Here is a 25,657-nt window from a genome sequence, read left to right as displayed (position 1 = left end):
TTTCTAAAAATAACTGCAACTAATGAAAGGAAATAAATATTTCTTAATTTAAATTTTATTTAGAGTTTATTTTTAAAAATCAACAAGAACTGCCAGAAAATGAAATAAAATTGTTTCATTAAGTTCATGAGTTATTTTGCATTGCATCCTTTCAGTATTGCTGTCTCTGCTTCTAGCATCTTCTCACTTCAAACAAAGCCCTCTAAATAGCCCCAAAATGTGTATATTTCAAATGGAAATGAAGTGTCATCTCTTCTATGAAGAAGCTTCTCAATAGGCAGAACCAGTCATTATTTTACAGGGTCTCCCATAACACTTTATACCCATCTTAACAGATGTTCCATAAATTATCATTTCTAAACTCAAGCACCATCAGTACCTAAAATAACCAACTTACTTAAAAGTTCCAACACTTTGGACTTCAGGTAGCTCCCTTCTCCTCCTGACCCATAGTTTCTTCCCTCTGTAATACTTTCTGCTCTCCTCCTATCGCCCTTTGTTAGTCCAGTTTCCTCCCTCTGAAATGACCTTTCCCTCTAGCTGTATACCAGAAAACTGCTTATTTTAAGTTGCAGTTTAAACCGCACTTTCTAGGTGAAGTCTCCCTTATCTTCTTAGTGAGAAGTAAACTCACCATCCATCTATCTCCTTGGTGTCAATTTGATGTTGTCCACTGTTGTTTCTTGAAAGCTTGGACAGAGTTTTAACCATTTTTGTATACCCTAAAATAGAGAATTTGAAACATCTTCTGATAAAGAAACACATTTCAGATGAAAACTTTTATAGATCCCCGATATATTAAAATATGCTTTAGAATTTTTTGGTTGGGCTTGCATTCATAATTTTAACTTAAATTATTGTTAATCAGTAAAACAATGAGGCTGTTGTGAAAGATATTCAAAATGAGAAAATCTGAGTAACTTTTGCTATCCCATCTATCAGCTGTATATTTTTACTTATTTCTCAATTTTCTTTGAGTAGTACAATATTAAGAAAATCATAGTTCATACAATGAAATTGCAAATAGTAATTGATTTTAACACCTTGTCTTTATTTCAAGATTTTTCAATTACATTGTCCCAGAACCACGAAAGAGGAGTGAAATGAACTCTCAAAGTTGAACTACAGTAGAAATCCTCTTAATCTGACACAGCTGGACTGTCATTAGTGAGTTTGTTAAAGAACAGTTAAGGAGAGGATCATACAAAGCACACAAAGCATAATTTTTAATGTAAAACATACAAATGCCCAAGTAGTTACCATTTTAAAACCATAAATAAGGCCTTTTCTAGGCAAGTGACTGCTCTCAGAGTTTCTTATAATCTTTCTTATACAAATTACCTCCAATGTGTCATTTATAAATTCTAGTATCAGTTTCTGGAAAGCATAGCAGGAACCTAAAGGTACTTTTTAAGTGACTTGCTCATGAAAATCATCTAGATGTTTATGATTCTCTCTCCAATAATGTGCAATTATTTTTCCACACCTAATTTAACCATAATTTTAGCCAAAACTTTCCAAAACATTAACTAACTTTTCTTAAAAACATTTTTCCTTTTTTTGGAGACAGAGTCTCTCCCTCTGTCACCCAGGTTGGAGTGCAGTTGCCGGATCTCAGCTTACTGCAACCTCCACCTCCTGGGTTCAAGTGATTCCCTTGCCTCAGCCTCCCAGGTAGCTGAAACTGCAGGTGTGTGCTGCCATGCCCAGCTAATTTTTAGTAGAGATGGGGTTTCACCATGTTGGGGTTTCACTCCTTACCTCAGGTGATCCGCCCACCTTGGGCTCCCAAAGTGCTGGGAGTACAGGCATGAGCCACTGTGCCCAGCCTAGAAACATTTCTTTTTGCTCTCACATTTCATCAGCTTTTATAACATTTGATTCAATTACATGAACAATTAAATATTACATTTAATAAATAAAAAGAACAACTAGCATAAACATGTGTGGAAACAAATGTGAATGGCTCTTGATTAGCATACACCACAACTAAAAAAGGCAGAGTGCATAGACAGCAAGCAGTATCCCACTAAGGGGGAGCATTTATTCAAGTGTGGGCACAGTCGGTGGGTTTCAGAGAAAATGGGTCATTTCATCGTCTAGTGAGTCACTAGGCACAGATTCAGAGACTTTCTATTATACTAATTATTTAGCAATATTTGGACTCCACATCTTAAATAAAAAATGCAGAGAAAACAAATGCCTATGAAATCTATTTAGGATATCACCTTACTACTTGCCATTAAAACATTACTTGATATTTTTCAAATGACTACAATGGCAAGAGCATGCACCAAACAGATGTGTCTGAGACTTGACTGATGTTTGATTCAGCTCCATGAAGTATACTGAAATCTTCCATTAATTAATTTAATAAATATTTCTTGACTCCCAAAACATGTAACCAACAGTGCTAGGTTCTGGGAGTATAATGATAAAAAGATTCATTCCTTTTTAGAACTTATGTTTTGGAGTGGCAGTCTCCAAACTATTTGTTAACATACTGCTACCAGTAAAAATACTTGAGGTTTATCTATATCTAAATCTTATCTGTATCTATCTACATCTATATGTACATCTATATCTATTTACCTATTTAAAATACACACACACACACACACACACACACACACTCTCTCTCTCTCTCTCTCTCAAAGAATTGGAAAACCTAGTCCAAACCTAGTTTCAAACATATTTTTCTAACTTATATATTTTAAAACTATACTGCCAGATCGAAGAATACGTTCTAAAACTGAATTAATTATTAATCCATTTGGCATTTATATCACCTCATTAGCACAACTAAATATGGTTTATCTTTAGGGAGGAGAAGTAAAAAGAGTACAGAGAAAGAGAAGCAACAGGAGAAGGGAGATAAGGGAAGGTAGAAAGAACAAACTATCAAGATTTCTTATGTTTTCTGGCATCTAGGGTTGAGAGAAGACAATGGTTTCTGTCAATAAGAATCATTGTGCACTTTTTAGGAATGAATGTGATACATGACCTTGTTTTCTGATAAAATTTTAAAAATGTTTGGATAGCTTTTATTCTAAACTTTTAAAGAAACTTAAAAATTAAACTGGCTTATACAAGAGAATTAATACAGAATTTATAAACATGAAACAGAATAAAGCTTCTATTAGAATTAATTGTAGTACTCTTATTCTGCACAGTAGATCCATTGTAATTAGCTGATTAGAAATTAGGGTAATATGTCTCTAGCAATCATCAATTTAAATTGGATACAGGAGGCCAGCACTGGTGGATACTGTTCAGTGAGAGTAAAGCCACAGCAAAAGAATTTCCAGGCTGACTAAATATCACATCTGGGTAAAGCATGCCTGCCCCTTTCTTTTTCTTTTATTTAACAAATATTGCATGGGACGAAGGAATGTCAAGGCTAAACTCTCTAATACAGATGTAGAACACACGCATTTGCACCAGCTCAGAGCAAGATGACAGACACTGGAGGCACTGTTGTGGCTTGGTAGTTAAATTGTTCATTTCCATTAACTTGTGGTTCAAAGATACTACCACATTTAGGGAAGGATACTGCCTTTTTGGTGACTGCTGTGTTAAAAGCTAAGTCTTAAGAACTAACAGTGGAAAAAACCACATATTTCAAGATTATGCTAAATGTCAAATTTTTCAAACTGAGAGAAATTCAGTCACAGCAAAGCACAAGTTTTAGAACTTTGTTTAGACAAAAATTATTTGCAGATACTTCTACCAATCACTTTTCCCAATTTTACCTGATATTGTTGTGAGAAGAGGTGCAATAAGCCCTTGACCTTATAAGTCATAAAGACCTTGGAAAATATGCTATGTAAGAGAAAGAACAACACATGATAGGGGCCAAACATCTCTTCCCAACCTCAAAAATATTCCAAGAGACAGGAAGCTATTTAAACTACCTGAAGTTCTATCAGTTCTTCCTTTTTTCCTAGTTATTTTGCATTATAAGTTAGATGGCATGCAACATAAACATCTTAAATTCTAAATACAGCTAACTTTTCTTGAGCACTGAACGTGCTAGTCACTGTCCTAGGGTAAATATGTGTGTGTTTATGTGTATGTGCATGTGTGTGTGTGGATAACTTGACATAGATACAAACAGATACACCTACATATGTGTGTATTTATGTATCAAATCTGTGAATACAGATATTTTATTGTAGAGTATTAACAGATACTTTTTTATCCTCCCAGCATCCTCAAGAGGTAGATTAGGTTAATATTTTCCATTTAAAAAAGAAAAAACTAAGGCTAAAAGAAGGTAGGTAGAGCTTGGTGCTGTATACCTCTAAAATCTATGATTCTCAACTGCAACTCTATACTCCATGCAAGTTTTGACTTAAATACAGATTTTATATTGGGGGATGAGAAAGAGGGAGTTACTAAGAGTAGATTTTGGACGTCCACACCTGGATGAATGATAGTACTATTCATTAAGAGGGTAAACATTGGAAAATACTGGTGGGAAAGACCAGGAGTTTAGCCTGAGAAACTTTGGGTTTGAAATGTTTGATCTAGCAAAGAGGACCTTAAAGTAAGGTACTCTGAAACTCAAGGAGGATGTCTGGACTGAAAAATATGGGTTGGGTAAGATTTCTGAGGGGGGGCTGGTGCATCATAGAAGCTAGGTTAATAAAATCTTACAAGAAGGCGGGTATGATTAATGCTGCTGAAAGATAAGTAAGAGTAGAGGTGAAAAATAACCTGCATCTAATATTCTTTTTTTCTGCTCATATTTTTGCTATGAATTGGGCATTTTAAAAAATTAATTCATTTCACATTGAAGCCTAAGGAATATTGCCTTGTAAGGGCAGGCAGTGGGTTTGGAGTCACACATGGGACAATTCCAGAGGCAGCAGCTTCCCTAGAATAAAATTCTTCTAAAGAGTATGCAAAAATCTACTCAAGGAACAAGAGTTGGAATTCTCTAAACATTCTGCTCATCTGAATTAGACTTCATAGAATATTTAGACAAATACTTACATTGTTTCCACCCGAATTACTAATTGATCTGTAATGCCACAGGGACATAGAAAGAGGCAAATAGGATAGTAGTATAAAAAGTCCACGACGTGCAAAGTGTCAATAAAGATTATTTTAATGGAAAGAACCACTGAATGAAATTGTTAGGTCTAGGTTCTAATATTGGGTGTGTTACCCAAATACATATTGAGTGTTTCAGAGTCTCTAGATGTTTTTGATTTTTAGTCTTGAATTTAAAAAAGTGTACTCATTAACCTGAGTGAAAATGAAACAATAAAACAATGAAAAGATCTATAAAAATAAACCTGCTAATCCCTCCATAACCCACCCCTTCCAATAATCGATGCTAATAGCTTGTATCCTTTTATATTGTTTTTCATAGTAATAACATGACATACAAAAACACACACAAAGCACATGTTTTGTTTGTTTTTAAAAAACCAGGGATCACAATAAGCACATTACTCTGTAAGTGGCTTTTCTGATTTGACAAAAGCATATTGGATATTCCTCAGGTATAACATATATAGATTGAACTTAAATTTATTTTCTAATAACTACACAGTATTCCCCAGGGTGGAAACACTATGATGCATTCAACTACTTTGCTATTGATAGACATTAGAGGTATTGAAACTTGCATCTTAGAATTCACATAATGTAGAAATCAATATCTCATATAAATACTAAAGCATCCTGTACTGCCTCATGTTGTAAATGTCTGTGAAAAGAGCATATTACATTATAACATGGATTTATTCTAAAGATTTTTCTCTTTTAAGCTCATTATAAAATAACATTTCTGATTATTGATAGAAGTTATACAAAAAACTCATTCTCAGCTAATTTCCTTGATTCTTACTTCCCTGGAGTGAAGGGGTACCTAAGCAGTAAAAACAGACTCTATAAGTTCCTATGGTCAAATCTACCAATCCCTGCATCTGGGCCCATAAATACTGCTTCCCCTTATCATATAGGATGAATCACCCGTCTTCATATCCAAGGCCAAGCTCTCCAACTAGTGTGCTAGATACCATTGCCCCTCACCTACTCAAAGATATTACTCTAGAAATTCTCCTGACTACTTCATCATCATTCTTTCTTCTCTAGTTGATTTTCTATCAATATACAACTATCCTGCAATTTAATCCACTTCAAAACAAAATCCCATTTCCTCTTGATCCACTGGCCCATTTATCCACAATCCTTTATAGCAAACTCCTCTAATAAGTAGCACAGTTGTCCATATTCATTCCTTCTTCTCTTTTGGCAGTTCTTCTCTTATTTCTTGATCCCACTCCAATCAGATTTCTGTCATTATCACCACACCTCTCTCAAAAGAGTTCTTTAGAAAGTCACCAAGGACTTCCATCTAGCCAAATGTATGACCCTTTGCTTGTCTTCCTCTTAATCTACCAGCAGGATTTGGCCTAGTCAATCACTCCTTTCTTAACATTTCTTTTACTTCTCTCATGTATTTATTTATTTATTTAGAGACAGGGTCTTGTTATGTTGCCCAAGCTGGTCTCGAACTCCTAGGCTCAAGCGATCCTCCTTTCTCGGCCTCCCAAAGTGCTGGGATTACAGGCGCCAGTCACCACACCCGGCCCTACATCTCTTTTAATTTAACGTCTCTTAGGATTTTCCTCCTATTTCACTGGCTACTTCTCAGTGTCCTTTACTGTCCCCACCCCACTCTCAACTAAAATGTAAACTTTATGAAGAGAAGGTTTCTGTTTGTTTTTGTCTGTTTTGTGAACTGCTGAATACCCCAGCATTTAGAGTAGGGTCTGGCATGTAGGAGACCATAAACAAATCTACAATATGCTGAAAAAAATTTTTTACTTTTTTTATTCTTTTTGAGACGGAATCTGGCTCTGTCACCAGGCTGGAGTGCAGTGGTGTGATCTCGGTTCACTGCAACCTTTGCCTCCCGGGTTCAAGTGATTCTCCTGCCTCAGCCACTTGAGTAGCTGGGACTATAGGCACGTGCCACCACACCCAGCTAATTTTTGTATTTTTAGTAGAGTTGGGGTTTCAACATGTTGGCCAGTATTGTCTCAATCTCTTGACCTCCTGATCCACCTGCCGTGGCCTCCCAAAGTGCTAGGATTATGGGCGTGAGCCACCACGCCTGGCCAACTATTTTTGTTTTAACTAAATTGTCAAGGTAGGTACTAGTAATTCTAGCACTGTGGATCCCAGAAATTCTTATTAATTTGTGAAATGCCTAAATGGAATTAATTATATTCTCTCACAAACCATTTTCCCTGACTTTCCTAGCATAATTAATAAGACACCATTCATTTCCATAACAACCAGGATATTCAGAAGCACACTTAAATCCAAATTTAATCAGTTGCCAATGCTTATGAGGTTTTATGTTCACCATATCCCCTCCAACCAGATGCCTTTGCCTGTATCCTTCCATAGCTTTACACAGTTAACAGATTAATCTCCCTGAACTAGAAGATTGAGTGTGGTATTTTGCAATTGATAAATGTTACTAACTCCCCAAAAGCAACAGATGAAATACAAACTCCTCAGACTGGCCTTTAAGGCCAGACTAAATGCAGAACCTTTCTGCCCCATTACCTTCATACGGTGACTCCTAAATATCTGTGAAACAGAAACATTCCTTTTCCCTGAAGTAGGTACATGCATTCATGCAACAGTGTCACCGATTTTACAGATTTATCTTTACCCAGAATGACCCATTCATTAAGTACTTGTCAAATTGTACTTCATGTGATTTTACCTTAAACAGATTTTCCATATCCCATCTATTTATCTCACATGCCACTTTGTTTTGAAAGCATCCCTGTTTAGCTTGAATGATATCTAAATGACCCCACTTTGTGGCCAAATAATGCTCACTTAGATCACGTCCATGTGATGTCCCGTGTAGTCTTTCTAATTATCATTTGTACTCTTGTATGAAATATAAGCTGTACGTCAATTCCTTATTGATGATTAAATTCTGTACAGCACCTAACATAATATTTTGTGCATAATATATGCTTAACTGTAAAAGTTGTTAACCTAAGTTGATAAATAGGGCAAAATGTAGGGCAATCTTCAGCTAAATACCATTTTGAACTTGGATTTAAAAGAAAAATAAGATTGGGCATGGTGGCTCATGCCTGTAATCCCAGCACTTTGGGAGGCTGAGGCAGGTGGATCACCAAGTCAGGAGTTCAAGACCAGCCTGGCCAACATAGTGAAACCCCGTCTCTACTAAAAATACAAAACTTAGCCTGGCATGGTGGTGTGTGCCTGTAGTCCCAGCTACTTGGGAGGCTGAGTCAGGAGAATCACTTGAACCCGGGAGTCAGAGGTTGTAGTGAGCTGAGATCATGCCACTGTACTCCAGCTTGGGTGACACAGCAAGACTCTGTCTCGAAAAAGAAAAAGAAAAATAGTTTATATAGCTAAATATGTTATGATGAATATATTAATTTTAAATAAGTGACTTTTAAAATATAGATATATAATGTTGTATCTGCATATACATATTCAGTTAAAATATGCTTTGATGATGCAACAAAGTATTGCAATATGCTACCCCATAAGATAAAGTTATTCAAATTCATGTAATTCATCTAATGGCATATTTAACAGATACTAAAACTTTATATCTATAGTGACACAATTACCCAATTTTAATTAATGCATATAGCATATTTGTTTGCATATTACCTTAACACGTACACTGAAATGTAAAATATTTTCATCTGGATTTTTGTAGAGCAAAGTAATTGATAATGTGCTCCAATGATAAACTGCAGAAGTTGTCACTTTCTATACCCAGGGGAACGCTAATTAATCTTGAATAACCCTCTGAGACACAGAACATAAGCAATGTGCACATGGGAGGGAAATAATAATTCACCAGAAAATAAACACAGAGAAAAAACAGACTACATGTAAGCAAATACAATGAATATGATAGGTAATACCTAGTGTCACTTCTGGAGTTCACTTTGGGGGAATTATGAAATTCCCAGGACTAATTCTGAAACAAGATTATATGCATTTCTCAGCATTATATGGAGAAAACCTATGAAGAGGAATTTGGGGCTGGTACTAACTAACCACTGTCAGGGAGAATACTCTGGGCATGGCACTATTTTCATAGGCTAAGCAGCATTAATCTCAGAGCTTGAGATTGGATTACTTTGCCTGAGGGATATATACCTAAACAAAACAGGTGGCTTATTAAGAGGAAAGAGGGGTAAGCCTGGTTGGGCAGGCAAGCAATGCTATCTGCTAAAACAACCTGGTCTCAGTCTACTATTCCAGGTTTCACCTCTTGCCAGCTCTGATACACCCACATACATGCCTCTAGTATTCTAGCCAGGCCTAACGACTTACCATTTCCCCAGCATGTTGTAAATCAGAGCCGGCTTCATAGCCATAACTCCTGGGCAGTCACACCAGCAACATGAACTCAGAAGAGCCCCACACTTAGTTTATTTATTTTTTATTGTGGTAAAATACATATAACATACAGTTTACCATTTGAACCATTTTTAAGAGTAAAATTCAGTGGCATTAAGTGAATTCACATTGCAACTATCAACACCACCCATCTCCAGAACTTTTTCACCATCATAAACTGAAACTCCATGCCCATTAAAACATAATGCCCCGGCTGGGCATGGTGGCTCACACCTGTAATCCCAACCCTTTGGGAGGCTGAGGCGGCTGGATCATCTGAGGTCAAGAGTTTGAAACCAGCCTGGCCAACATGGTTAAACCCCGTCTCTACTAAAAATACAAAATTACCCGGGTGTGGTGGTGCATGCCTGTAATCCCAGCTACTCGGGAGGCTGAAGCAGGAAAATTCCTTGAACCCAGGAGGCAGAGGTTGCAGTGAGCCGAGATGGTGCCATTGCACTCCAGCCTGGGCAACAAGAGCGAAACTCCATCTCAAAAAATAAATAAATAAATAAAAACATAACTCTGCATTCTTCCCTCCCCTAGTCCTCAGTAACCACCTTTCCACTTTCTGTCTCCATGAATTTAACTACTCTAGGTACCTTATATAAGTGGAATCACACAACACTTGTCCTTTTTCTCAAATGTGGTTTAATGATTTTCTGTCACTGTCTTAAAACTGTCAATAATTTTAGAGCAAGGGCCTTTCCATTTTCATTTTGCATGGGATTCCTCACAAATTAAACAGCTAGTCCCGCTGTGAATTTTTATATCCCCTTACCTATATCTTCTCCACACCAAAAAACATCTCCATGTTCTTCTGGCCTCACCTAAATTTCATTTCCTCTGTGAGGTGAAGAGCGGACACTGCAGTCCCCTAAGCTCCTTAGAGTATTTGTATTTTACTCATTAAGGGCCCACTTCTCATTGCATTGTGACTCTTTGTTTTACATACGTCTTTCTTGCTGGGGGAATTATTTGTGTCTTACTTATGCCTAGTGCAGCACCTGGGTTATGGAATAAATTCAAAATCCATGTGTTGCAGCCCTAACTCCTGATGTATGGTATTTGGAGATGAGGCCTTTGGGAGGTAATTAGGTTTAGGTGAGGTCATGAGAGCAGGGCCCTCATAATAGGAGTAGTGGCCTTATAAGAAGAGACACCAAAGAGCTTGATCTTGCTCTCTCTTTCTGCTCCATTAGGGCACAGGAAGAAGGTGGCAGTCTGAAAGCTAGGACGAGAACTCTCAATAGAAATCTACCACACTCGCTCATCTCAAACGTTCAGCCTCTGGAAATGTGAGAAAATAAATTTCTGTTGTTTAAGCTGCCCATCCATGGTATTTTGTTATAGCAGCATGAGCAGACAACCTAATACATATTGAGTGCCCTAAAATATTCGCTGAACCTAAGAGTGACTGCAGGCACCCATGATGGATCACACTTGGCATTGTTGTTGGACTTTGAATTTAACAGGAACTAAAAGAGAATAATAGAACTTACCATCAGAAAATATGATCATTGTGATAATCCAGAAACTCTAGTCAGGGACACAATCCAGGCAGTTAAACTGTGACCTGTAGCTGCATCCTTATATTCTCAGGGAAGCATGACTCAAGTGTTGGACTCCGTGTTTTAAGTCATTGAATAGGCCTGCTCTAGTGTTTCTGATTTCGGAGATCTCTAGTTCCTTTTCTTTGAAATAAGGCTATGTTACTTCTGTGTATTTTTCATGTCAACCTTGCATTCTCATCAAGGGAGACCTATCACTAGACCCAAGAAGCATGGCTAAATAGGCTTCACAGCTTATATGATCACAAATTCATATATCGATAAAGTGCATCATAATCTTCAAATGTTGAAGAAAATGTTCTCAAATTGGAGCCCGTTGGCATAAATTAGCTCCCTTCCACACCCCATTACTAAAACTGAATAAAAGTTCTCCAAGTAGGGGGATCAGGATGGCACTGTGAAAAGGGCCTGCAGCAGGAAGTTGAAGTTACTTGTTTCTGGTCTACCAGCCATGTTCCTACTCTCTGTGTGACTCTGGCAATGAGGCTTTCTGAGTCTCAGTTTCTCATCTGTCAATAAAAAAGGATTTGATGAGCTGGATCTCCTTGAACTCTGAACACTTGAAGATTTCCTGTAGCCACCAAATTTTCTCTCACATAAAATGCTAATTACATGTAGAAAGTTAATAAAAAATATTTTCTTTATTGCTAGAAATCAACCAGGATATTTTAAATTAAATATTTTAGGATAGTCAACTTTGTGTGACAAAAGAAATACAGAGATTGTACTGACTTTAAATGAGGCTTCTCTAGTGAAGAGTTGGAAGCAAGGCAACGTGACCTCAAGTTGAACTACTGTTTGCACATGTTAGTTTTTGAAGGACATGATAGAGGTTATATGCTTTTGTTAATTACTCTTTTTATTATTCTTTTAAGTCATCTAATAGGTTTGTTCTAGTGTTTCTGTTAGGTCCTTTTCTATGGAATGAGACTACCTTACATGTTTGCATCTTTCATGTCAACCTTGTATTCTCATTTGGGTAGCTATGACAAGTAAACGAGTTTGGCTGGTGGAGAGCCTTACATAAAATGAAATGCTATAGTGCTGGGAATTCCTCTTTAATTTTAACTTTAAACTCGATCTTTGGGTTGCATGACTGACCACCTTGTTATTACCTGTACAGAAAAAGGTTCCACCGATAGCAACTGTCTTAGGTCCACAGACCAAAGACAAATGCTGCCATTGTGCAGTCTGGCATAATCTGTCAAGGAAATGCACAGGCATTGACAACCATTTCTTTCCAAAGTCAGGGCATTTCACAGGAAAAAAATTGCATGTCTATCACTTCTCCTTTTACTGTACATTATATTATATCTATTATACCTTGCTGACAATGGCATATTTTTCTCATTTTCCCTCTATTTTGTTGGCATACAATTTAGGGGATATTAACCATACCTCTTTTATAGACCTTCTAAACCAACACTTTATCTTTATTAAACATTATATAGTGGGACTTAGGTTCTTGATCTTTACAAAAAATGAACAAAAGTAATTTATGATAGAACTATTCTTTGTAGCATCCATAGATGAACATAGTCTTTTTTGTTTCATAGTCTTTGTTTTATTTATTGATTCAGAGTGGAGTTTCAAACAATTATTTGATAGGTACATTGAACAAAACTTTTTTCTTTAATTCTGATTATTATTTTTGTGAACAATACTTTTTTAAAAACTTCAATTTTTTATTTTCTAATATATACCTATACCTTAATTTTCTGTACTCGGGGTGGACAAACTTTCTCTACAAGGAACAAGTAAATATTTTAGGTTTTGTTGGCCATACAGTTTCTGTTACAATTAGTCAACTTTGCCATTTGGTGCAAAAGCAGCCATAGAAAATAGGTAAATGAATGAGTACAGCTGAGTACCGATAAAACATTAGGTAGGCTGGGTTTGACCCATGAGCAATTGTTTGCCAGCTCCTGCTCTATCTCAGTCTATAAGAGGTATTATACAAGTCATAAATATAGGATACCAAGATATGTTGATTTAGAACACTTTTCTACCAGCCATGTCACTTTAGGCATGTCTTAACGTATCTGAGCATCGTCATTTATAATTTGAAAGAGTTTAGTCTAGGCAGATGCTATCAATCTCTAATATTTTTATAGTCACTTGAGCAGTCCTTTGACTATTTATGAACAAATGCAAAGAAGCATAATGCTAACACTTGTAAGATTTTTTTAATCTTAAAAATTCTCGTTTGTAAACTTTATTGCTTTTCTTTGAAAAATAAACTTTTATAATTACTCAGTAACACTTCTGAGTGGTTACAAATGAAATGCTCCATTTACTCATAGATGACCTTTTAATATTGAAAAGGAAGGGTCTGAGGATACAATAAAGAGTCACATGAAGTTTAAGGCCACCTGAAAGTTAAGGCTGCTGATCTGGCCAGCTAGGCAGGTGTCACTTTCTTCCTCTCTAATCCCTGTCTGTACTTCTAAAGAAGGAGGAAGGTTTCAGAGAAAGCTTTATTTTTTAATCCTTCTGAGATATATTAGTGACCATGAATATGTGATAATTGTACTAAAAAGATTTGCTATTTTTCTAATTTGAGGCTTCTATTAACTGAGGAGAAATCCTAAAATTTGCTTTTCAATGTACATTTCCTTTTAGTATCAGTGAACTTACATGAAGTCTCTTGCAGAAAATATATATATTTTTACCAGAATGTGAAACTACCCAATTGTCAGTGGGCCATGTTTAACAAAAGACCTGAGATCTCCAAATTCTGTGCAGTCACCTAAGGTAGTAAAGTTTTATATGTGAGGGCCCATGATTTTTAGAATACTAACTGAAAAATAAATGCCAGCTACCACTTTCAGTACTTACATGGGTCATAAAAATCTGCTTTCTACCAAATTCCTGGTGTAACACCTGGGAGGAATCTAAGGACTGCTGTGAAAAGGTAAGTGATCATGTAAAATAATAAAATAAATCCATTCACTTTATCTTTATGTTTCTCTTATTAATTTTAATTCCAAGGATAAAACACAGAGAATAAAGAGAACATAGCAGTCACTAACATATATTAAAACTGTGACCCATTTTGTTTTGGAGAAGTTATCTTAAATTTTAATAAAATGCTATATTTGAACAAAAATTAAAATTTAAGTCTATTCTCTTTATTGTTTATTTTGGTTAGGAGTAAAGGAAGTAATGTGGGAGAGTCTGTTAGTTATAAGACAGCTATAGCAAGAAGGAAGAGAGAAGGCAAAAGTAGATTTTAAATCTAATTTGTGATAGGAAGGTTTTGTTACAGATTCAGTATTCTGTGGGGTATCTCTCTCTCATGAGACACTTTCTATGGGAAAAGTTGCATATGACAATTGCAATTTCTGCTATCTTCTGTTTAGTTGTACCTGTATTAAATTCCAGATAAGCTGGAATTATATCTGAAATGTCATAAATGAAAATTTTCTGTAAACTGCACTAAATTCATTTCTACCTTATAATTTTAAGAATTATATAACTTAATAAAACCATATTACTTATAAAGCTTGATTACTTTACAAAGCTAGAATGAGTGCCTGTTTTAAGAAAACTGCAATTATTTGATAAGTAATCATATTACATTATATTTCTCTGGGAGACAGCATAATAAGAGATGATTTATAATGATCTCAGTGAAATACATAATATTAATTTCATTTTACTATTCATATTTTGTTTATTTCAGGTTAGACAAAGGGTATTCCACATTTTACATGTTAGCAAATTCTAGTTTGGTTGGCATTCACTAAATGGTACTCTGCCAACCAAAAAGTTAATACGACTTCAATTTAATGATACTAGATGTTCATAAAGATGTCTTCAAAGAACTAAAAATTCCTAAATGCTTTTGGAAGCTTATTAAATCCAAATTAGGAGATACAATGTGGTTGTACTTTTGAGTATGTTTTAGTCATCCAATTATAATAGCCCATCAAAAAAATGTGTGTTATGCTACATATCTATTCCCCCATATGCTGTAAGATAATACCACTTTGTAATAATTGCAGCCAAGGTAGAAAGTTTTAAACAGCTAAGCGGAAATTGTTTAAAATAATAGCTAAACATTAGCATAGTATTTATAAAACAGCAGGCACAATTTTAAGTATGCTATTATGTATACAGATATATATATATAATGAAATGACATATGATGAAATGACACTCTGAGGTAAATACTGTCTTCTCCATTTTACACATGAGGGAATCAAGGACCAAAAAGATTAAGTAAATTGCCGAAGAAGTTGGCAACGGAATTGATTTGAATTGAATTTGTTGTGGCTCTGGCACATACATTCTTAGCCACCATGCTGTGCTACCTCAAGAGTTTTCTCGGCCATGTGCGGTGGCTCACAACAGTAATCCCAGCACTTTGGGAGGCCGAGGCGGGCAGATCATGAGGTCAGGAGTTCAAGACCAGCCTGGTCAACATGGTGAAACCCCATCTCTACTAAAAATACAAAAAATTAGCTGGGCGTGGTGGTGCACACTGTAGTCCCTGCTACTCTGGAGGCTGAGGCAGGAGAATCACTTGAACCCGGGAGGTGAAGGATGCAGTGAGCCGAGAGTATGCCACTCACTACAGCCTGGGCGACAGAGCTAGATTTCGTAAAAAAAAAAAAAAAAAAAAAAAGTTTTCTCCTCAGGAAGCGAGAGTTTACTTTCAGTTTTTTATTGCAATAACTCCATGGCTTTTCAGTCTGTTCTCTACATTATTAAAAATGCTTAAAGAGGGAAAATATCAACCATGTAAAGAAAAGGTTCTAATTAAGACTATTTTCAGGAAAAACTGCTACTTAGATAATTAGTATTATACAAATTTGGTTTCTGAGCAAAGCAATAAATTATTTTCCCATGAAATTCAATCAGTCAAACGAGTAAGATTTTATTTTTTAATGGCTTGTTGAGTTGTAGTCTTAATTAGATGCAAATAAAATTTAGGAAGAAAATTTAGTATCAGCATTCCTGGCAGTATTTTGCCATATCTAAACCCCTAAAGCCATGGTATAATTATGCTACATCTTTCCTCTAGAAAATTGTCTCTTAAGATGGCAAATTATAGCAAGACATAAGGTCTAATAAAATTGCCATGGTGATTTTAAGTTGTAATTTAGAAAGTTTAGTAGCCATTTCCACTTTTATTTATTATTTATTTATTTATTGAGACAGAGCCTTACTCTGTCACCCAGGCTGGATTGCAGTGGCGTGACACTCCACTCGTGACACTCGGCTCACTCCAACCTCCTCCTCCCAGCTTCAAGCGATTCTCCTGCCTCAGCCTCCCAAGTACTACAGGAGCATGCCACCATGCCCGGCTAATTTTGTATTTTTAGTAGAGACGGGGTTTCACCATGCTTGCCAGGCTGGTCTCAAACTCCTGACCTCGTGATCCGCCCGCCTCGGCCTCCCAAAGTGTTGGGATTACAGGCGTGAGCCACCACACCCGGCCCACTTTCACATTTTAAGAATAAAAGAGGAGGGTACTAATTTATATGATGTATATGTTTCTCACTTGTAAGAAGAAATTATGGTGATAAGATAGAAATTTAATTTTTAAAAGGCATTTTAAAGAGAAGAAAATAAACATGTTTAATATATGTTCTTTTAGTGAGATTTTGTGTCTTAATTGTGCTATCAAATAAAAATCACATAATATTGCCCATTCATTATATTATGCATTTTCAGGATGATAAGATTGTGCTTTTTAAGAATACATTATTCATATTATAGAAGCTAATTTTCAAGGTCTTTCCTTTACTTCATTCTTTTACAAATCAGATAAATGGGTTAAAAAATTTCATTGATGTTCTCCTGGAAAATATTTAAATTTGTATTTCTTTGACAATACATTTTCTCTTAGTTCTGTGATGTTTAAGTGTTGAATGCATGCAAAAAAAAAAAAGCTTGAAAATAGGCACCTCATCATGCAAAGATTTCCCTTCTCATTATATGTACAAGTAACAAGTGTATGTTTTCTCATATGTATATATATGTAAGTTAATCTGCCTCTGCATGCCATTATTAAATATCTTCATTTCCATCATAGTATTGCAGTCCACTTCTCCCACTCAGTAGTAATTTCCATGATGGCAAGAGACTTGTTAATATTGTCCAGAGTTTTATTACCTGTAGCTAGCACTTGCCTGGCATATAATAGATGCTGAATAAATGTAGATTCATTGAATGAATGATCAAATTAACTAATATGAAGAAAAAAGGAAATTACTATTTTTAATAAATGCTGAATAAATGTATATTTATTGAATGAATGAGCAAATTAAGTGATATGAAGAAGAGGGGAAATTATAATTTTTAATAATAACTTAAAGCATATTTGTTCTTTATTAAAGGAAAACCAAATTGTTTTTAAAATAATTTTGATACAAGAAAATTATTTTTATCAGAAAATGTTAAGTCATGTTGAAAAAAATGTTGCCCTAATCCATTTAGGTTGCTATTAAAAATACCATAAACTAGGTGACTTATAACCAACAGAAATTTCCTTCTCACAATTTTGGAGGTTGAGAAATCTAAGATCAGGGTGCCAGCATTGTCAGGTTCTAGAGAGGCTCTTCTTCTTCAGGGTCGGGAGAGGCAAAGCAGCTCTCTGGGGCCTCTTTTATAAGGGCACAAATTTGTTCATGAGGGATCTGCCTCATGAATGACCCACTTAACTCCCAAAATGCCTCACTGCCTAATACCAGCACATTGGATGTCAGAATGTTAACATATGAATTTGGTTGGGGGGGGGTGGGGCACAAATATTCAGACTGATAGCCTAAACCTATAAAATGAACTACAACATGAAACTATAGAGAAAATAATCAGATTTTCCAAAATTCTTTTATTATTGTTCACGTGGCTAAAGCAATCACAAAACATGATGACATAGATTAAAAAGAAAAAGTATTTGAAAGAAAAATGAAGTAAATTGACTAACTTGAAAGTAATATGTTTATACAAATGGATTTATGACAGTAGTTGAATGTTGTAAGAGACAAAATGAAGTACCTTCTCTTTTTCAAAATGTAAGATACAGCCTTAAATATTGGAGCTGTTAAAATTATAATCTATCATGAAGCATAAAGAAAAAATGCTAGATTAATGCCAAATTATTAAAAAGGAAGAAATGCAAACAACCAGGAATCCCAAAATATATTTTTTCTTTTAATATTTAGTTTGAATATTTACCAATTTCTAGACTTACTCTTTACTTTATAATTTGCACTTGATGTTTATGTAGGTATCTGTTCAAAGTATTTGCACTGACTCTCATACAATTTATACAATTTATCAGCCAAATACATATTTAAATAAACTAATAAGACATGAATTATATAATGCTATACCAACAAATGTTTCTTATAAAAATAAATTATAAAATAATGATAAAGGTTACTTATTTACCACCTTGGCAACTTTTATAAATACTGAATAATGGCAACTTTCATAAATAATAACTGTAAAATCAACTAGTGACTATGACAGCTTAATATACTAAAGGCTGGGCCAATTGATGTGAACATAATGTTATTTTATAATTAATTTAAACAACACTACTCTAATAAAGGAAACAACTATATTTTATGCATAGCCCTGCAATTGATTGTACCTCTTTTATGCTTTCTAATTTTAATATTTTAACAGTCTAAATAGCATCTTCCTGTCATTAGTGGAAATTGGTGAGGGTCTATTTTCATTTAAATCCTAATTAATTTCTAAAACATCTTGTCCTGAAGTAATATGTTAACGTAACTCTTAAGTATGTATGTGTAAGAAAAAAATAATTTACAAGTCTGTCTATTCTTGGCATTTGTTTCATGGAAAATCTGCTATTAATGAAATAATTTCATTTAAGTACTTATATTATGCTTCTATTGTCAATATATTACTCGATAATATGTGGATCATTAATTTCATGAATAAAATACTTTAATCCCTTGTACTGCATAATTAAACATATATACAGCACACTTCATTATATCTTTGTCTTTCCTTGAAATGATTCCCATATTCACAGAAAATTAGCATTAGTTGCCACTACAGTATTTTCTACGATATTATAAAAACATAATGTTTCATAAAATCAACATTTTATAATTTATTAAAAAAACACTATTATTAATGTAGTCATCACTCTAATAACCCAGAACTTTTAAAATATATGCTGTTCACCAAATTGTTTAGTAGAGAACAAATTTAAAGCATGATGTGAATTTTCGTTTTAAGACATCTTTAAAGGTAAGACTTTTCTGATAAGAGAAAAGTTATCAGAATATTCATATGCAACTTTCACAGATATAGAATGATGAGGTTCACTTTTGAATGATTTTACTTTACTGTTAATTTACTGTGTACGGCTTTTCTACTCCCTACCACAAGAAAAGAAAAACGTATACACAAAAATACTGCTTTTGTATCATTACTTCCATTCTCTTCTGGAAGGTCAGTTCAAAGTATGTTGGAGCCTTTCAATCTCATTATCCCGTGGAGGATTCTTTTTTTCTCCAAAATTCCTATCTCTTTGCCTTTCTTTGCTGCATTCTGGGTAAAATTCTCAGTCCTATGATCAGTTCACGAATTTTCTCTTAAACTATTTTCATTCTAGAATTTATTCCACCTAAACATTTTAAAAATTTCAATGAAAATAGCTGTATTCAGAAAAGTTTCAGTTGGTTCTATTCTCTACAATTTTTAAATAAATTTTTCTGGGTTTTTTTTGTTTTTTTTGTTTTTTTTTTTTTCCAGATACAGAGTCTCCAGGCTAAAGCACAATGGCATAATCATGACTCACTGCAACCCCTGTCTCCCTGGCTCCAGCGATTCTCCTGCCTCAGCCTTCCAAGTAGCTGGGACTACAGGTGCACACCATCATACCTGGCTAATTTTTGTATTTTTAGTAGACACCAGGTTTCACTATGTTCGCCAAGCTGGTCTTGAACTCCTGACCTCAAGTGATCCGCCCATCTCGGCCTCCCAAAGTGTTGGGGTTACAGGTGTGAGCCACTGCACTTGGCCAATTTTTTATAAATTGACAGATAAAAGTGCATATATTATTGTGTAGAGAACAGTATTTGAAATATATATACAGACAGACTGACTAGCATATGTATTCCCTCATATAGCTATCATTTTTGATTTTTGTAGTGAGAACAGTTAACATCTACTCTCTCAGCATTTCTCAAGAATACAATATATTATAAACTACAGTCACCAAGTTGTACAATAGAGCTCTTGAACTTATTTCTCTTATCTAACTGAAATTTTATATTCTTTGACCAACATCTCTCCCCCCTGACTCTCAAATACCCCAGCCCCTGGTAACACTATTCTACTTTCTACTTCTGTGAGTTTAACTTTTTAAGATGCCACATATGAGCAAGATCAGGTGGTATTTGTCTTTCTGTGCCCCGCCTATTTCACTCAACATAATGTCCTCCAGGTTAATACATGTTGTTGCAAATGACAGGATTTCCTTCTTTTTTATGGCTTAATAGTATTCCATTGTGTCCACATTTTTTAATCCACTCATTCAGTAATGGAAACTTAGGTTGATTCCATATCTTGGCTTTTGTGAATAATTCTGCAATAAACACAAAAGTAAAGGAATCTTTTCAACATACTGATTTCATTTCTTTAGATACATATTCAGTAGTGGGATTGCTGGATTATATGGCAGTTTTATTTTTAATTTTTTGAGGAACATCCATACTGTTTTCCATAATGGCTGCATCAATTTACATTCTCACCAACAGCGTGCAAGGGTTCCCTTTGCCGCACATTTTGCCAACACTTATCTTTTATCTTGAAGATACGCATTCTAGCTGCTCTAAGGTAATATCTCATTGTGTTTTTAATTTATGTTTCCCTGATTAGTAATATTGAGCTTTTGTTTCACATACTTTTTAACCATTTGTATGCCTTAAGAAATGTCTGTTCAGTTTCATGGCTCCTAATTTTATTGAATAGTTTGCCTTCTTGCTATTGAATTGTTTGAATTTCTTACGTATTTTGGAAATTAACCCCATAACAGATATACAGTTTGCAAACATTTTCTTCCATTCTGCACGTTGTCTCTTTGCTCTGTTGGTTGTTTTCTTTGCTGCACAGAAGCTTTTGAGTTTGATGCAATCTTATTTGTCAATTTTTGCTTTTGTTGCCTGTGCTTTGGGGTCATTTCCAAAAAAGTCATTGCCCAGATAAATGTCATAGTTTTTCTCCTAAGTTTTATTCTAGTAGTTTCATAGTTTTGGGTCTTACATGTAAGTCTTTAATCCATTTTAAGTTGATTTTTATATATGGTGTGAGATAAGATTCTAATTTTATTTTTCTGCCTGTGAATATCCTGTTTTCCCAAAAGCATTTATTGAAAGGGCTGTCCTTTTCCTATTGTGTGCTCTTGACACCGCTGTCAAAAATCAGCCAGCTGTAAATGCATGGATTTATTTCTGTGCTCTCTATTGTTTAATTGCTCTGTGTGTCTATTTTTATGCCAGTACCATGCTGTTTTGGTCACTATAGCTTTGTAACATATTTTGAAGTCAGGTAGTGTAATGTCTTTAGCTTTCTTCTTCTTGTTCAAAATGCTTTGGCTTTTCAGGAATTTTTTGTTATTCCATATGAATTTTAGAATTGTTTTTTCTATTTCTGTGAAAAATGTTATTGGTATTTTGATAGGAATTCTGTTGAATCTGTAGCTTGCTTTGGGTAGTATGGACATGTTAACAATATTAAATCTTCCAATCTATGAACAAAGAATATATTTCCATTTATGTGTGTCTTCTTTAATTTCTTTCATCATTGTTTTATGGCTTTTAGGGTAGAGATCATTCACCTCCTTGGTTAAATTTATTCCTAAATATTTCTTGTAAGTATTGTAAATGGTATGGTTCTCTTGTTCTTTTTCAGATAGCTTGCTATTAGTGAATAGAAACACTACCGAGTGTTGTATGTTGATTTTGTATCCTGCAACTTTACTCAATTTACTAGATAATTCTCACAGGTTTCTTTTTGTAAAGTCTTTAGAATTTTCTGTATATAGGGTCATGCCTTCTGCAATCAGGGACAATTTAATTTCTTCCTTTCCAATTTGTATGTCTTCTATTTCTTTCTTTTGCCTAATTGCTCTGGCTAGCACATCCAATACTATATTGAATGGAAGTGGTTAACATGGACATCCTTATCTTACTCTGTGTCTTAGAGGAAAAGCTGTCAACTTCTCCCCATTGAGTTAGCTATGGGGTTTATCATATATAGCTTCAATTGTGTTGAAGTACATTCCTTCTATACCTAATTTATTTAGAGTTTTTTAATCATGAAAGGATGCCAAATTTTTCCAAATTTTTTTGCACCTACGGAAATGATTATATGCTTATTGTCCTTCATTCTGTTCATGTAATGTATTACATTTACCGATTTGCATATATAGGACCATCCTTGCATCACTGGAATGAATACCACTTGATCATGATGAATAATATTTTCAATGTACCATTGAATTCAGTGTGCTAATATTTTGTTGAGGATTTTTGCATTTATATTAATCAGAGATATTGGTCTGTAGGGTTTTTTGTAGTTTTTTGTTTGTTTGTTTGTTTGTTTGTTGGTATCAAGGTAATGCTGGCCTGATAAAATAAGTTTGAAAGTTTCATCTCCTCAATTTTTTGGAAGAGTTAAGCAAAATTTTTATTAGTTCTTCTTTAAATATTTGATAGAATTCAGCAGTGATGTCACCATGTCCCAGACTCTTCTTTGATAGGAGACTTTATTGCTGATTCAATCTTTTTACTGGTTATTGGTCTGTAAAGATTTTTTATGTCTTCATAATAAAAGCATCAAATAATTTATCTGTTTCTCTAGGTTACTGAAATGGTTGGTATATAAATGTTCATAATAATCTCTTATGGCCCTTTGAATTTCTGTTGTGTCAATTGTAATATCTCCTTTTCCTGTTCTTCATTTTACTTATTTGACTCCTATTTCATTCTCAGTTAGTGAAGCTAAAGTTTTATTTTGTTTATCTTTTCAAAAATATATATTTTTCTATTATTTTTCCAGGCTCTATTATTTTATTTCTGTCCTGATTTTTATTATTTCCTTCCTTTTACTAACTTTGGGCTTAGTTTATTCCTGTTTTTTGCAGTTCCTTGAAGTACAATGTTAGGTTGTTTATTTGAGATCTTTTACCTTTTGTAATGTCACTGTTTACAGCTACATGCTTCCTTCTTAGAACTGCTTTTGCTGTATCTGGTAAGTTTGGGTATGTTGTGATTCAATTTTCATTTGTCTTAAGAAATTTTTAAATTTTCTTTCCAATTTCTTCATTGACCTATTAGTTGTTCAAGAGCATTTCCATTTGCCAAATTTTCCAAAGTGTCTCCTCTAATTAATTTATGTTAATTCTAATTAATTGAGGTCAGAATAGCTACTTGATATGATTTCAACCTTCATAAATTTGTTAAGACTTGCTTTGTGGCCTAACATATAATCTATCCTAGAGAATGTTCCATGTGGAGTTGCAAATAAAATAATATATATTCTGCAGCTTTGGGGTGAAATGTTGGGCATATATTTGTTATGTCCACTTGATCTAGATTATGCTTTTAGTTTACTGTTTCCTTATTGATTTTCTGTGTGAATGATCTGCCCATTTCCAGAAGTGGGGTGTTTAACTCCCCTAAATTTATTATATGGCAATCTATTGCTCCCTTCAAATTTATTTATATTTACTTTATATCTTCATCAGCTTGGATATTGGGTACGTATATATTTGTAATTGTTATATCCTCTTGCTGAATTGACCCATTTATAATGATACAATTATGTTACTTTTTCTTTTTACAGTTTTACTTAAAGTCTATATAATCTGATATAAGAATGGCCACTCCAGTTTGTGTTTGGCTACCATTTACATGCAGTATTTTTCTCCAGCCCTTCACTTTAAGTCTATGTGTGTCCTTACAAGTGAAGTCAGTCTCTTGTAGGTGGCATATATTTGGATCTTGTTTTTTTGTTTTTTAAATTCATTCAGCTATCTTACACCTTTTGATGGGAGAACATAATCCATTTACATTCAAAGTAATTATTGACAGGTAAGGATTTACTACTGCCATCTTGTTAACTGTTTTCTAGTTTTTTCATAGATCTTCTGTCTCTTTCTCTTTTTCTGTCTTCTTTTATAGCTAAGTGATTTTCTTCAGTGTTGTTTTGATTGCTTGCTTTTTATTTTCACATACCTATGATAGGTTTTGCTTTGTGGTTTCCATATGACCTACAAAAAATATAACATGTTTTAAGCTGAAAACAACTTAACTTTGATAACATACACACACATACACACACAGACACACCATCTACTTTTACTCCACTCCCCAAACCACATTTTGAATTTTTTATGCCACAATTTACATCTTTTAATATTGCAAATCCCTCAATAAGTTATTTTGGTTATTTTTAATAGTTTTGTCTTAACCTTTATAATACAGATTTAAGTGATTTACACACCACCATTTCAGTATCAGAGTGTTTTGAATTGAACCATGTATTTACTTTTACCAGTGAGTTTTATACTTTCAGGTGTTTTCACGTGACTTATTAGTGTTTTTTTCTTTCACCTTGAAGAGCTCCCTTTAGCATTTCTTGTAAGACAAGTCTGGTGGTGATGAACTCCCTCAGCTTTTGTTTATTTGGGAAAGTCTTTATTCCTCCTTCATTTCTGAAGAATAGTTTTGCTGAGCACAGTATTCTTGATTGACAGTATTTGTTGTTCTCAGCACTTTAAATTTATCAACCTCTTCTCTCCTGGACTATAGAGTTTCTGCTGAGGAGTCTTCTGTTAGCCATATTAAAACATTTTTATACATAATTTTCTTCTTTTCTCTTGCTGTTTTTTTAAAAATCCTCTCCTCATTGATTTTTGACAGTTTGGTCATAATATTTTTAAAATAGTCTTATTTGCATTGAATCTGATCAGAGATATTTGACCTTGTTGTACCTGGAAATTGATGTCTTTCTCCAGATTTGAAAATTGTTCTGCTAGCATTTCTCTAAAAAGGTTTCTTACCCCTTTATCTTTTTTTAATTGTATTCCCTGACTCAAATGTTTTGCTCTTTTGTTGCTGCCCCATAAATCTCATAAGCTTATTTATTTATTTATATTTCTTTTTTTCTCCTCTGTATATTTTTAAATAATCCCCCTTCAGTTTCACAGATCCTTTCTTCTTGATCATTTCTGCTGTTGATGCCATCTATTGAATTTTTCATTTTATTCCTTGTATTTTTAAGCTCCAGGATTTGTTTGCTTTTTACTTATTTTTTTCAGTCTCTCTATTATTATCATTCTGGTCAAATACTGTTTTCTTCATTTTGTTGATTTGTTTCTTTGTATTTTTGTTGAAGTTTGCTGAGCTTCCTTAAAACAGTTATTTTGTCATATATATCATATATCTCTATTTTTAGGAACAGTCAATGGCACCCTTATTTTGTCCTTTTGATGATGTCATGTTGTCCTGATTGTTCTTGATATTTGTAGTCATGCATCAACATCTGCATATTTGAAGAACTAGGTACTTATTCCAGCCTTAGCAGACTGGCATTTTTCTGAGAAAATATGCAATAGGCACAGCATTGGGTTATGTTCAGTGCAGTTGCTG

At 34.4% G+C, this 25,657-nt stretch overlaps 1 protein-coding gene across 8 annotated transcripts in view; it reads right to left on the bottom strand.

The window, feature by feature from the left end:
- Positions 1 to 25,657, bottom strand: part of CFAP299 (cilia and flagella associated protein 299) — a 642,486-nt gene that overhangs the window by 314,129 nt on the left and 302,700 nt on the right. For 2 of the 8 annotated variants that reach the window (XM_017007976.2, XM_017007977.2), the window contains one exon: positions 17,831 to 24,276. The exons of the other annotated variants lie outside the window; for them this stretch is intronic. In XM_017007976.2, coding sequence (XP_016863465.1) covers positions 24,202 to 24,276 — 75 coding nt within the window. In that variant the 3' untranslated portion in view covers positions 17,831 to 24,201. Of the gene's footprint in view, positions 1 to 17,830; positions 24,277 to 25,657 lie in introns of those variants that run through there. 8 annotated transcript variants of the gene reach the window in all.

Source organism: Homo sapiens, chromosome 4, assembly GCF_000001405.40.
Source record: "Homo sapiens chromosome 4, GRCh38.p14 Primary Assembly".
NCBI lineage: Eukaryota > Metazoa > Chordata > Mammalia > Primates > Hominidae > Homo > Homo sapiens.
Note: the sequence above shows the minus strand (reverse complement) of the source record. Positions and strands in the feature narration are given on the sequence as shown.